The sequence below is a fragment of the Homo sapiens genome, chromosome 4 (assembly GCF_000001405.40).
Source record: "Homo sapiens chromosome 4, GRCh38.p14 Primary Assembly".
NCBI lineage: Eukaryota > Metazoa > Chordata > Mammalia > Primates > Hominidae > Homo > Homo sapiens.
The window spans coordinates 152,832,953-152,846,684 of record NC_000004.12 but is presented as its reverse complement, the minus strand read 5'-3'; the positions used below and the strand labels follow the sequence as shown (position 1 = coordinate 152,846,684).

At 40.1% G+C, this 13,732-nt stretch overlaps 1 protein-coding gene across 6 annotated transcripts in view, besides 3 other annotated features; it reads right to left on the bottom strand.

Annotated features, from left to right (window-relative positions):
- ARFIP1 (ARF interacting protein 1) overlaps window positions 1-13,732 on the bottom strand; it is a 132,404-nt gene that overhangs the window by 65,673 nt on the left and 52,999 nt on the right. The gene's annotated exons all lie outside the window — the stretch shown is intronic.
- Window positions 2,333-3,532: an enhancer, noted in NCBI's record as "MED14-independent group 3 enhancer chr4:153764305-153765504 (GRCh37/hg19 assembly coordinates)". NCBI's record gives its function as "activates an origin of replication core promoter dependent on BRD2, BRD4, P300/CBP and CDK7 cofactors, and independent of MED14, by STARR-seq in HCT116 cells {active_cell/tissue: HCT116}" and the evidence as "EXISTENCE:reporter gene assay evidence [ECO:0000049][PMID:35650434]".
- Window positions 2,836-3,443: an enhancer, noted in NCBI's record as "H3K27ac-H3K4me1 hESC enhancer chr4:153764394-153765001 (GRCh37/hg19 assembly coordinates)". NCBI's record gives its function as "activates a minimal SCP1, AML or CMV promoter by ChIP-STARR-seq in primed H9 embryonic stem cells {active_cell/tissue: H9 hESC(primed)}" and the evidence as "EXISTENCE:reporter gene assay evidence [ECO:0000049][PMID:30033119]".
- Window positions 11,462-11,962: an enhancer, noted in NCBI's record as "H3K27ac hESC enhancer chr4:153755875-153756375 (GRCh37/hg19 assembly coordinates)". NCBI's record gives its function as "activates a minimal SCP1, AML or CMV promoter by ChIP-STARR-seq in naive and primed H9 embryonic stem cells {active_cell/tissue: H9 hESC(naive and primed)}" and the evidence as "EXISTENCE:reporter gene assay evidence [ECO:0000049][PMID:30033119]".

Below are 13,732 nucleotides of genomic sequence, written 5' to 3'. Positions count from 1 at the left end.
TAAAATATATTAATATACTTATTTTCTCTATAAAATTTTATCTCTATTAAAATAGAAAAATGAATTTGGAGTTAAATGCAATTTTCCTATTTATTCCTCAGAAAAATAAATGGGGAAAAGTAAGCCAAAATTGAGGTAAACAGATGCTTAAAAGATCTTGAGGGAATTTATTCAAAATAGTCAAATGATGCTTCTGAAATACTGTTTTCACTCACGGGTTAAGAGAGCACATGGCTGAGTTTTATTTTAATTCAAAACTATTAAATATGTAAATGACTCATATGCTCTTTGTGTGTGTGTGTGCGTGTGTGTGCGTTTAATTTCAACTTTTATTTCAGATTCAGGGGTTACATGTGCAGGTTTGTTACTCAGATACATTGCATTATGCTGAGGTTTGGGGTACCATTGATACTGTCACCCAGGTACTGAGCATAGTATTCAATAGTTTTTCACCCTTTGCCCCCTTCTCTCCCTCCCTACTCTAGTCGTTCCCAGTTTCTATTCTTGCCATCTTTATGTCCATGAGTATCCAGTGTTTAGCTAGCACTTATAAGTGAGAATATATGGTATTTGGTTTTCTGTTCCTGTGTTAATTCAGCAGCAACAAAAACAGGTGGATGGCCTCCAGTTGCATCCATGTTCCTGCAAAAGACATAATGTTGTTCTTTTTTATGGCTGCACAGTATTTAATGATGTATATCTACCACATTTTCTTTACCCAATCCACCATTGATGGGTACCTAGATTGATTGTATGACTCTGTGACTGTCAATAGCACTCTGATGAACATACAAGTGCATGTGTCTTTTTGGTAGAATGATTTATTTTCTCTTGGATATATACCCAGTCATGGGATTGCTGGGTCTGATGGTAGTTTTAAGTTCCTTGGGAAATCTCCAAACTGCTTTCCACAGTGGTTGAACTAATTTACATTCCCATCAACAGTGTATAAGTGTTCCCTTTTTCTCTGCAGCCTTGCCAGTATGTTATTTTTTGTCTTTTTAATAAAAGCCATTCTGACTGGTGTGAGATGGCATCTCATTGTGGTTTTGATTTGCATTTCTCTGATGATTAGTGATGAGCATTTTTTCATATGTTTGTTGGCTACTTGTATGTCTTCTTTTGAAAAGCGTCTATTCATGTCTTTTGCCCATTTGTTTAATGGGGTTGTTTTTTGCTTGTTCAATTGTTTAAGTTCCTTATAAATTCTGGATATTATACCTTTGTCAGATGCATAGTCTGCAAATATTTTCTCCCATTCTGTAGGCTGTCTGTTTACTGTGTTGGTAGTTTCTTTTGCTATGCAGAAACTCTTTAATTAGGTCCTACTTGTCAATTTTGTTTTTGTTGCCATTTCTTTTGAGGATTTATTCATAAATTATTTCCCAAGGTCAATGGCCAGATGGTGTTTCCTAGGTTTTCTTGTAGGATTTTTATACTTTGAGGTCTTATCTTTAAATCTTTAATCCATCTGAAGTAATTTTTTATATACGGTGAAAGATAGCAGTCCAGTTTCATTCTTCTGCACATGATTATCCATTTATTCCATCACCATTTATTGAATAGAAAGTCCTTTCCTCATTGCTTATTTTTGTTGACTTTGTCAATAATCAGATGGCTACAGGTGTGATGCTTTATTTCTGGGTTCTCTATTCTGTTTCATTGGTCAATGTGCCTGTTTTTGTACCAGTACCATGATGTTTTGGTTACTATAGCCTTATAGTTTGAAGTTGCAAAATGTGATGCCTCCAGCCTTGTTCTTTTTGCTTAGGATTCCTTTGGCTATTTGGACTCTTTTTTTGGTTCTATATGAATTTTAGGATAGTTTTTTCTAGTTCTGTGAAAAAATGATACTGGCAGTTTAATAGAAAAGCACTGAATCTGTAGACTGCTTTAGGCAGTATGGCTATTTTAATGGTATTGATTCTTTCAAACCATGAACATGGAAGGTTTTCCTATTAGTTTGTGTCATCTGATGTGTTTATTTTTAATAACAGCAGGTACAAACAGAAATAATTAATTTGTATTATGTTGAATTTCTTTAAGGAGGTGAAATAGGTTATTGCTTCTATGGAGGCTTGCCCACTGATAAGGTTCATATTCAATAAGGAGAGACCACCAAGACAACCTATGTTTTCCTTTTCTGCCTTCCAATAGGAAGTAAAATAATTGCAAGGGAATCTTTAAAAAGAGAATTTAATTTAAATCAATCAATCAATTCACAAAGGAGGAAATTATTGGCTTTGAATAAGCAAATAACTCATACTGATATGTTGCAGTTTAATTCACTTCATTCTAATAAAACTTTTCATTGTAAATTTTAGCTCCAGATTGACTGCAAGAACAAATCAGCAATCCCGAGAGGACCCACAGACCCTCTGAAGGAAGCGGACTGCTCCCGGAGGACCCAGGAGACACCTCAAGTACTGTGAGTGCCCCAACTACGGAAGTGGGAAAGGGAGAGCCTCCTCTCCCAAACACACTCCCACTGGAGAGGCTGAAGGTCTGTTCGTGGGAGAAGTTTCTGATTTTACCTAAAGCTGAGTCAAGTTTAGAGAGCCAAGAGAAATACAGTGGTACACGAAGCAGCAGAAAGGCCCTGGGAGCTCGCTGGGTCCCCTAGCAGGCCATTCCTGCCTGGTACCACAGGGATCCATCAGGAGGGTGACCAGAGGAGCAGGGGGTAAAACTCCACAGTGAGAAGGAAATCTCCAGCTGAACTTTGTAACAATTTGAACGGTGGTAGAAGCCTCCTGGCCACAAGTCAGGGGAGGGCACAAATCCCGTGTGCAGACTCCACAGGCCATGCAAGAACCAAGCCCTTTTCTTTCGCAGCTGGAAGGTGGGTAGCCTGGGTCAGGTTTTCAAGCCTATCACGCTCTCTGCCTTGAAACAGACTCAGGGCTGTTGGTGGGGGCACAGTGGAAGTGAGAACAGCCCTTCAGTTTGCGTGCGAGCTGCGTGAGGCCTGTGACTGCCGGCTTTCCCCCACTTCCCTGACAACCTGTGTGACTCAGCAGAGGCAGCCATAATCCTCCTAGGTACACAACTCCTGTGACCTGGGAATCTCACCCCCATCCCCCAGAGCAGCTGCAGCAAGACTCGCCCAGGGATAGTTTGAGCTCAAACACAACTAGCCCTGCCCCTACCTGATGGTCCCTCCCTACCCACCCTGGTAGCTGAAGACAAATGCGTATACTCCTGGGAGTTCTAGGGCAGTGCCCACCACCAGTCCCTCTCCACATTACTACAGCTGATGCTTTCTGGAAAGCACCATCTCCTGGCAGGAGGCCAATCAGCACAAAAACAGAGCATTAAACCACCAAAGCTAAGGACCCTCATGGAGTCCATTGCACCCTCTGCCACCTCCAATGGAATAGGTGCTGGAATCCATGGCTGAGAGACCCACAGATGGTTCACATCACAGGACTCTGTGCAGATAACCCCCAGTACCATCCTGGAGCCAGATACACTCTCTGGGTGGCTAGACCCAGAAGAAAGACAAAAATCACTGTAGTTTGGTTCACAGGAAGCCACATCCATAGGAAAATGGGGAGACTACTACATCAAGCGAACACCCCATAGGACAAAAAAAATCTGAACGACAGCCTTCAGCCCTAGACCTTCCCTCTGACAGAGCCTACCCAAATGAGAAGGAACCAGGAAACCAACCCTGGTAATATGACAAAACAAGGCTCTTCAACATCCCCCCAAAAAATCACACAAGTTCACCAGCAACAGATCCAAACCAACAATCCCTGATTTATCTGAAAAAGAATTCAGGAGGTTAGTTATTAAGCTAACCAGGGAGGGACCAGAGAAATGCGAAGACCAATGCAAGGAAATCCAAAAAAAAAGACATAAGAAATGAAGGGAGAAATATTCAAGGAAATAGATAGTATAAAGGAAAAACAATAAAAAATTCAGGAAACTTTTATGGAAACACTTTTAGAAATCCAAAATGCTCTGGAAATTCTCAGCAACAGAATTGAACAAGTAGAAGAAAGAAATTCCGAGCTCGAAGGCAAGGTCTTCGAATTAACCCAATCCAACAAAGACAAAGAAAAAAGAATAAGAAAATATGAACAAAGCCTCCAAGAAGTCTGGGATTATGTTAAACAACCAAACCTAAGAATAATCAGTGTTCCTGAGGAAGAGGAGAATTCTAAAAGCTTGGAAAACATATTCAGAGGAATAATCAAGGAAAACCTCCCCTGCCTTGCTAGAGACTTAGACATCCAAATACAAGAAGCACAAGCAACACCTGGAAAATTCATTGCAAAAAGATCCTAGGCACAATGTCATCGGGTTATCCAAAGTTAAGATGAAGAAAGAATCTTTTTTTTTTTTTTTTCAGTTGCAAGATTTAATAGAGTGAAAATAGAGCTCCCATACAAAGGGAGGGGACACAAAGAGGGTAGCCATTGCTGGCTCGAATGCTTGGGTTTATATCCGGATCATTGTCCCTCCTGCTGTGCTCTCAGGCGATAGATGATTGGCTATTTCTCTACCTCCTGTTTTTGCCTAATTAGCATTTTAGTGAGCTCTCTTTACTATCTGATTGGTTGGGTGTGAGCTAAGTTGCAAGCCCCGTGTTTAAAGGTAGACGCGGTCACCTTCCCAGCTAGGCTTAGGGATTCTTAGTCAGCCTAGGAAATCCAGCTAGTCCTGTCTCTCAGTCCCCGCTCTCAACAGGAAAACCCAAGTGCTGCTGGGGAGGTTGGCTGACGACCGCTCTAACTGCTTCCTGCTGAATTGGGGTGTAGTAGGGGTTGTGCAGTTGAGATTTCCTCGAGACGGGTGCCTTCGATGTCATTAACATCGGAGCATGTGGGCTAGCAGGCTGGTCCAGAGGTAGAAAGAATCTTAACAGTTGTGAGACAGAAGCACAAGGTTACCTATAAAGGAAAACCTATCAGATCAACAGCAGATTTCTCAGCAGAAACCCTACAAGCTAGAATGGATTGGGGCCCTATCTTTCGCCTCCTCAAGCAAAACAATTATCAGCCAATAATTTTGTATCCAGTGAAACTAAGTATCATATATGAAGGAAAGATACAGTCGTTTTCTGACAAATGCTGAGAGAATCAGCCATTACCAAACCACCACCACAAAAACTGCTGAAAGGGGCTCTAAATCTTCAAACAAATACTGGAAACACATCAAAACAGAACCTCTTTAAAGCATAAATCATACAGGTCCTATAAAACAAAAATACACATTAAAAAGCAAAAACAAAAAACAAAAGTACACAGGCAACAAAGAGCACAATGAATGCAACCGTACCTCACATTTCAATACTAACATTGAATACAAATGGTCTAAATGCTCTACTTAAAAGATACAGAACTGGCCTGGCACGGTGGCTCATGCCTGTAATCCCAGCATTTTGGGAGGCTGAGGGGGGCGGATCACGAGGTCAGGAGATTGAGACCATCCTGGCCGACATGGTGAAACTCCATCTCTACTAAAAATACAAAAATTAGCTGGGCATGGTGGCACGTGCTTGTAATCCCAGCTACTCGGGAGGCTGAGGCAGAAGAATCACTTGAACCCGGGAGGTGGAGGTTGCAGTGAGCCGAGATCACGCCACTGCACTCTAGCCTGGCAACAGAGCGAGGCGAGACTCCATCTTAAAAAAAAAAGATACAGAAGATACAGAACTGACTGGGTGCAGTGGCTCACGACTATAATCCCAGCACTTTCGGAGGTCGAGGCGGGTGGATCACCTGAGGTCAGGAGTTGGTGACCAACCTGGCCAACACGGTGAAACCCTGTCTCTACCAAAAATACAAAAAATAGCTGGGCGTGGTGGTGGGTGCCTTGTAATCCCAGCTACTCCGGAGGCTGAGGTAGGAGAATCACCTGAACCCAGGAGGTGGAAGCTGCAGTGAGCCGAGATTGCGCCATTGCACTCCACCCTGGGCAACAAGAGCGAGACGCTGTCTCAAAAAAAAAAAAAAAAAAAAAAGATACAGAGCCACAGAATGGATAAGAACTCATCAACCAACCATCTGCTGCCTTCAGGAGACTCACCTAACACATAAGGACTCAGATAAACTTAAAGGAGTGGTAAAAGGCATTTTATGCCAATGCACACAAAAAGCGAGCAGGGATAGCTATTCTTACATCAGACAAAACAAATTTTAAAGCAACAGCAATTAAAAGAGACAAACAGGGACATTATATAATGGTAAAAGGCCTTGTCTAGCAGGAAAATATCACAATCCTACACAAATATGCACCTAACACTGGAGCTCCCAAATTTATAGAACAATTACTAATAGACCTAAGAAATGAGATAGACAGCAACACAATAATAGTGGGGGATTTCAATACTCCACTGACAGCACTAGACAGGTCATCAAGATAGAAGGTCAACAAAGAAACAATGGATTTAAACTATACCTTGGAACAAATGGACTTAACAGATACATATAGAACATTTCATCCAACCACCACAGAATACACATTCTATTCAACAGCGCGTGGAAATTTCTCTAAGATAGACCATATGATAGGCTACAAAACGAACCTCAATAAACTTAAGGAAATTGAAATTATATCAAGCACTCTTTCAGACCACAGTGGAATAAAACTGGATATCAACTCCAAAAGGAACCTTTGATACCATGCAAATACATGGAAATTAATAACCTGCTTCTGAATGAGCACTGGCTCAAAAATGAAAACAAGGTGGAAATTAACCTATCAAAACCTCTGGGAAACAGCAAGGTGGTGCTAAGAAGTGCAAAGAGGTGCTAAACGCCTACATCAAAAAAACTGAAACAGCACAAACTGACATTCTAAGGTCACACCTCAAGGAACTAGAGAAACAAGAACAAACCAAACCCAAACCCAGCAGAAGAAAGGAAATTACCAAGATCAGAGCAGAACTAAATGAAATTGAAACAAACAACAACAAAAAAATACAAATGATAAATGAAACAAAAAGGTGGTTATTTGAAAGATAAATAAAATTGATAGACCATTAGCAAGATTAACCAAGAAAAGAAGAGAGAAAATTCAAATAACCTCACAAAGAAATGAAACAGGGGATATTACAACTGACACCACTGACAAACAAAAGGTCACTCAAGGCTACTATGAACACCTTTACACACATAAACTAGAAAATCTAGAAGAGGTGGATACATTTCTGGAAAAATACAACCTTCCTAGCTTAAATCAGGAAGAATTTGATACCCCGAGCAGATCAATAACAAGCAGTGAGACTGAAATGGTAATTTTAAAATTACCAACAAAAAAAGTCCAGGACCAGAGAGATTCACAGCAGAATTATACCAGAAATTCAACACAGAATTGGTACCAATCCTTTTGACACTATTCCATAAGAGAGAGAAAGAAGGAACCCTCCCTAATTCATTTTATGAAGCCAGCATCACCCTAATACCAAAACCAGGAAAGGACATAATCAAAAAAGAAAACTACAGACTGATACCTTGATGAACATTGATGCTAAAATCCTTAACAAAATATTAGCTAATCAAATTCAACAACATATCAAAATGATAATCCACCATGATCAAGTGGGTTTCATACCAGAGATGCAGGGGTGGTTTAACATATACAAGTCAATAAATGTGATAAACCACATAAACGGAATTAAAAACAAAAGTTAAACAATCATCTCAATAGATGCCGAAAAAGCATTTGACAAAATCCAGCATCACTTTATGATTAAAACTCTCAGCAAAATCAGCATACAAGGGACATACCTTAATGTAATAAAAGCCAACTATGAGAAACCCCACAGCCAACATAATACTGAATGGGGAAAAGTTGAAAGCATTCTCTCTGAGAATGGGAACAAGACAAGGATGCCCACTCTCACCACTCCTCTTCAACATAGTACTGGAAGTCCTAGCCAGAGCAATCAGACAAGAGAAAGAAATAAGGACATCCAAATTGGTAAAGAGGAAATCAGACTGTCACTGTTTGCTGATGATATGATTGTTTACCTCGAAAACCCTAAGGACTCCTCCAGAAAGCTCCTAGAACTGATCAAAGGATTCAGCAAAGTTTCCAGATACAAGATGAATCTAGGCAAATCAGTAGCTCTTCTATAGCCCAACAGTGACCAAGAAGAGAATCAAATCAAGAACTCAGCCCCTTTTACAATAGCTGCAAAAAATAATAATAAAAAAATACTTCGGAATATACTTAATGAAGGAGTCAAAAGACCTCTACAAAGAAAACTGCAAAACACTGCTGAAAGAAATCACAGATGATACAAACAAATGGAAACACATCCCATACTCATGGATGGGTAGAATCAATATTGTGAAAATGACCATACTGCCAAAAGCAATCTACAAAGTCAATGCAGTCACCATCAAAATGCCACCATCATTCTTCACGGAATTAGAAAAAACAATTCTAAAATTCATATGGAACCAAAAAAGAGCCCACACAGCCAAAGGAAGACTAAACAAAAACAACACATCTGGAGGCATCACATTACCTGATTTCAAACTATACTATAAGCCATCACCAAAACAGTGTGGTACTGGTATAAAGATAGGCATGTAGACCAATGGAACAGAATAGAGAACCCAGAAATAAACCTAAATACTTACAGCCAACTGATCTTTGACAAAGCAAACAATAACATAAAGTGGGGAAAGGGCACCCTTTTCAACAAATGGTGCTGGGATAATTGGCTAGTCACTTGTAGGAGAATGAAACTGGATTCTCATCTCTCACCTTATACAAAAATCAACGCAAGATGGATTAAGGACTTAAACCTAAGACCTGAAACTATAAAAATTCTAGAAGATAACATTGGAAAAACCCTTCTGGACACTGGCTTAGGCAAGGATTTCATGACCAAGAACCCAAAAGCAAATGCAATAAAAACAAAGATAAATAGCTGGGACCTAATTAAACTAAAGAGCTTTTGCATGGCAAAAGGAAGTCAGCAGAGTAAACAGACAACCCACAGAGTGGGACAAAATCTTCACAATCTATACATCTGACAAAGGACTAATATCCAGAGTCTACAATGAACTCAAACAAATTAGTAAGAAAAAACCAAATAATCCCATCAAAAAGTAGGTTAAAGATATGAATAGACAATTCTCAAAAGAAGATATACAAATGGCCAACAAACATATGAAAAAATGCTCAACATCACTAAATGATCAGGAAAATGCAAATCAAAACCACAACGCAATATCACCTCACTCCTGCAAGAATGGCCATGATCGAAAAATCAAAAACCAGTACATGTTGGTGTGGATGCGGTGAACAGGAAACACTTCTCCACTGCTAGTGGGAATGTAAACTAGTACAGCCACTGTGGAAAACAGTGTGGAGATTCCTTAAAGAACTAAAAGTAGAACTATCATTTGATCCAGCAATCCCACTCCTGGGTATCTAGCCAGAGGAAAAGAAGTCATGCAAAAAAGATACTTGCACACACATGTTTATAGTGGCACAATTCACAATAGCAAAATCATGGAAACAACCCAAATGCCTATCAATCAATGAGTATATAAAGAAACTGTGGTGTATATATATGATGCAATATTACACAGGCATAAAGAGGAATGAATTAACAGCATTTGGAGTGACCTGGATGAGATTGGAGACTACTATTCTAAATGACGTAACTCAGGAATGGAAACCAAACATCGTATGTTCTCACTGATTATGTGGGAACTAGGCTATGAGGATGCAAAGACGTAAGAATGATACAATGGACTTTAGTGGTTTGGGGGGAAGAGTGGGAGGGGGACAAGGGATAAAATATGGTGCAGTGTATACTGCTTGGTGACAGGTGCACCAAAATCTAACAAATCACCACTAAAGAACTTATTCATGTAACCAAATACCACCTGTACCTCAATAACTTGCGGAAAAATAAAAATAAAAATAAAAAATAAAACTTTTTATTCTAAAGTTAAAATTTGAGAGGAAGGGGAAAAAAATTTGTTTCAGTGCTACTCAAAGGCAAATAAACGTTCTTAAGACTCATGAATGAGTTTAATGTGCAAGGCAACCTCAAAGAACAAAGCTGGAGAAATAAACTACCAGTATCAAGATTGGAGCTGACATTTACTCCAGTTTTAATTACTGTAGTAAATAAATAAGACAATGTGTTATTGCTTCAAGGTCAGACCAAAAAAAGAAGAAAGAAAAGAGATACCAGAAACAGACCCACACATATACAATCATCTGAAAACAAAGCCCCCAGTGGAGGAAGGATAGTCTTTTTTTCTCCCAGCTTTATTGAGGTATAATTGACAATTAAAATTGTATTTAATTGTAAGGTGTACAACGTGGTTTCCATTTACATTTATACTATGAAAGGATTACCAATCAAACTGATGAGCATATCCATTACTTCACAGTTATCATTTTTATTTGTATGTGTGGGTGAGAATACTTAAGATCTACTCTCAGCACATTTCAAGTATATAAAACATCACATAGTCAATAAACTATAGTTAGCATGCTGTATATTATATCTCCAGAACTTACCCGTCAACTGCAGGTTTGTATCCTTTTATCAAAATCTTCCTCCCGCACCTCTTCAACATATGGTTTTGGATGTTCGTCTCCTCCAAATCTCATGCTGAAATGTGATTCTCAATGTTGGAGATGGTGCTAGGAGGGAGGTGACTGGATCATGAGGGCAGATCCCTCATGAATGGTTTAGGACCATCCCCTTGGTGATGAGTTCTCACCCAGTCCACATGAGATCTGGTTGTTTAAAAGACTCTGGGTCCTCCCCTTTCTCTCTTGCTCCTGCTCTCACCATGTGATGTGTCTGCTCCCCTTTTACCTACCACTTATGATTGGAAACTTCTTGAGGCCCTCACCAGGAGCAGATGTTGGTACCACGCTTCCTTTACTGCCTGCAGAACTGTGAGCCAAATAAAACTCTTTTTTTTATAAATTACCCAGTTTCATGTATTTCTTTATAGCAACATAAGTATGGACTAACACAGAAAATTGATACCGAGGAGTAAGTATTGCTATAAATGTTCCTGAATATGTGGAAGCAGCTCTGGAACTGGGTAATGAGCAGAGGTTGGAAGAATTGAGAGGGCTCAGAAGAAGACAGGAAGGTGAAGGAAAATTTGGAACCTCTTAGAGACTGGTTAAATGGTTGTGACCAAAATGCTGATAGAAATATGGACAGTGAAGTCCAGGCTGACAAGGTTTCAGATGGAAATGAGGAAGCGAATGGGAACTGAAGTAAAAGTCACCCATGGTATACCCTAGCAAAGAGCTTGGCTGCACTGCATTCATGTCCTAGGGATCTGTGGAAGTTTGAACTTAAGAGTGACAAATTAGGTTATCTGGCAGAAGAAATTTCTAAACAGCAAAGCATTCAAGAGGTGACTTGGCTGCCTCTAACAGCCTAAGATTGGATATGAGAGCAAATAAATGACTTAAAGTTGGAACTTATATTTAAAAGGAAAGCAGAGCATAAAAGTTTGGAAAATTTGCAGGCTGGCCCTGTGGTAGAGAAAGAATCCGAGCAGACTGTGGAGCAGCCACTTGCTAGAGAGATTAGCGTGACTAAAGGGGAGCCATGTGCTAACATCCAAGACAATGGGAAAAAGGCCTTAAAGGGCATTTCAGAAGTCTTTGGGACAGCCCCTCCTATCACAAGACCAGAGGCCTAGAAGAAAAGAATGGTTTTGTGGGCCAGACCCAGTATGCTGCTGCCCTGTGCAACCTTGGGACACTGCTCCCCACATCCCAGCTGTGCCAGCTGCCACTTTGGAGAATATAAGCTGCCATATGTCTTGGCAGCTTCCATGTGGTGTTAAGCCTGTAGGTGCAGAGAATGCAAGACTGAAAGAAGTTTGGCAACTGCAGCCCCCACACAGAGTCCCTACTGGGCCACTGCCTAGGAGAGCTGTGGGAAGGGAGCCACCACCCTCCAGACCCGAGAATGGTAGAACCACCAACAGCTTGCAATCTCAGTGTGGAAAAGGCACAGGCACTCAACTCCAACCAGTGAGAGCAGCCATGGAGGCTGGGGCAGAGCTGCCCAAAGCCTGAGGTGCCCATCCCGTGCACCAGTGTGCCCAGGATGCAGAGCACAGAGTAAAGGAGATGGTTTTGGAACTTTAAGATTTAATGATTTCCCTGCTGGGTTTCAGATTTGTGTGGGGCCTATTCCCCTTCTTTTGGCCAAATTCTCCCTTTTGGAATGGGAATGTATACCTAATACCGGTACTACCATTGTATCTTGGGAGTAAATAACTTGTTTTTGGTCTCGCACACTCATAGGTGGAAGAAATTCGTCTCTAGTTGAGAGTTTAGACTTGAGAGTTAATACTGGAATGAGTTAAGACTTTAGGAAACTACTGTGAAGGCATGACTACATTTTGAAATGTGAGAACAAGAGATTTAGGGGGCTAGGGGCAAAGTTTGTCCCTCCAAATCCCATGTTGAAATGTGATTCCCAATGTTAGAGGTGGGGCCTTGTGGGAAGTGACTGGATCATGGGGGCGGATTCCTCATGAATGGTTTAACACCACTCCCTTGGTAATAGGTGAGTTCTTGCTCAGTTAGTTTACACAAGATCTGGTTGTTTAAAAGAGTCTGGGACCTCCACCTTTTCTCTCTTGCTCCCTCTCTCACCATGTGATGTGCCTGCTTTGCCTTCCACCATGGGTAAAAGCTCCCTGAGGCCCCACCAGAAGCTGAGCAGATGTTGGCATCATACTTCCTGCACAGCCTGCAGAACTGTGAGCCAAAACAAAATTCTTCTTTATAAATTACCTAGCCTCAGGTATTTCTTTATAGCAACTCAAAAACAGACTAACATACTCCCTATAATCACCTATCTACTATCTGTTTCTATGAATTCAACTTTAAGATTCCACATGTAAGTACAGAATCATGCCGTATTTGTCTTCCTGTGTCTGGCTTATTGTACTTAGCCTAATATCTTCCAGGTTCACCTATGCTGTTACAAATGGTAGGATTTCTTCCTTTTTAATAGAGCTTGAATGATATCGCATTGTCTGTGGGTGTATGTGTATGTATATATTTTCTTTATCCATTCATCCATTAACAGACACTTAGGTTATTTCCATATTTTGGCTATTGTTTATAATGCTGCAAAGAACATGGGAGTACAGATAACTATTCAAGACAGTGATTTAATTTCCTTTGAATATATACCCAGAAATGGAACTGCTAGATCTTATGGTCGTTCTACTTTAATTTTTTAAGAAATTGCCATACTGTTTTCCACAACAGATGTACCAACTGACATTTCCACTAACAGTATATAAGGGTCAACACTTACCTTTGGACTTTTTGATAATAGTCATCCTAATAGGTATGAACTGATATCTCACTGAGGTTTTGATTAGCATTTCTCTGATGATTAGTGATGTTGAGCACCTTTTCACATACCTGTTGGCCATTTGTACTTTTTTTTTTTTTTTGAAAAATGTCTACTCAAATCCCCAGTTTTAAATTGAGCTGTTTTTCTGCTATTGACTTGTATGAGTTCTTTACATATTTTGGATATTAACACTTTATCAGATATATGGTTTACAAATATTTTCTCCCATTCCATAGGATGCCTTTTCATTTTGTTGATTGTTTCCTTTGCTGTGCAGAAAGTTTTTAGTTTGACGTAGTCCCACTTGTTTATTTTTTTGTTGCCTGTGCTTTTGACATCATATCAAAAAATTATTGCCAAGACCAATGTCATGGAGCTTCTCCCCTATGT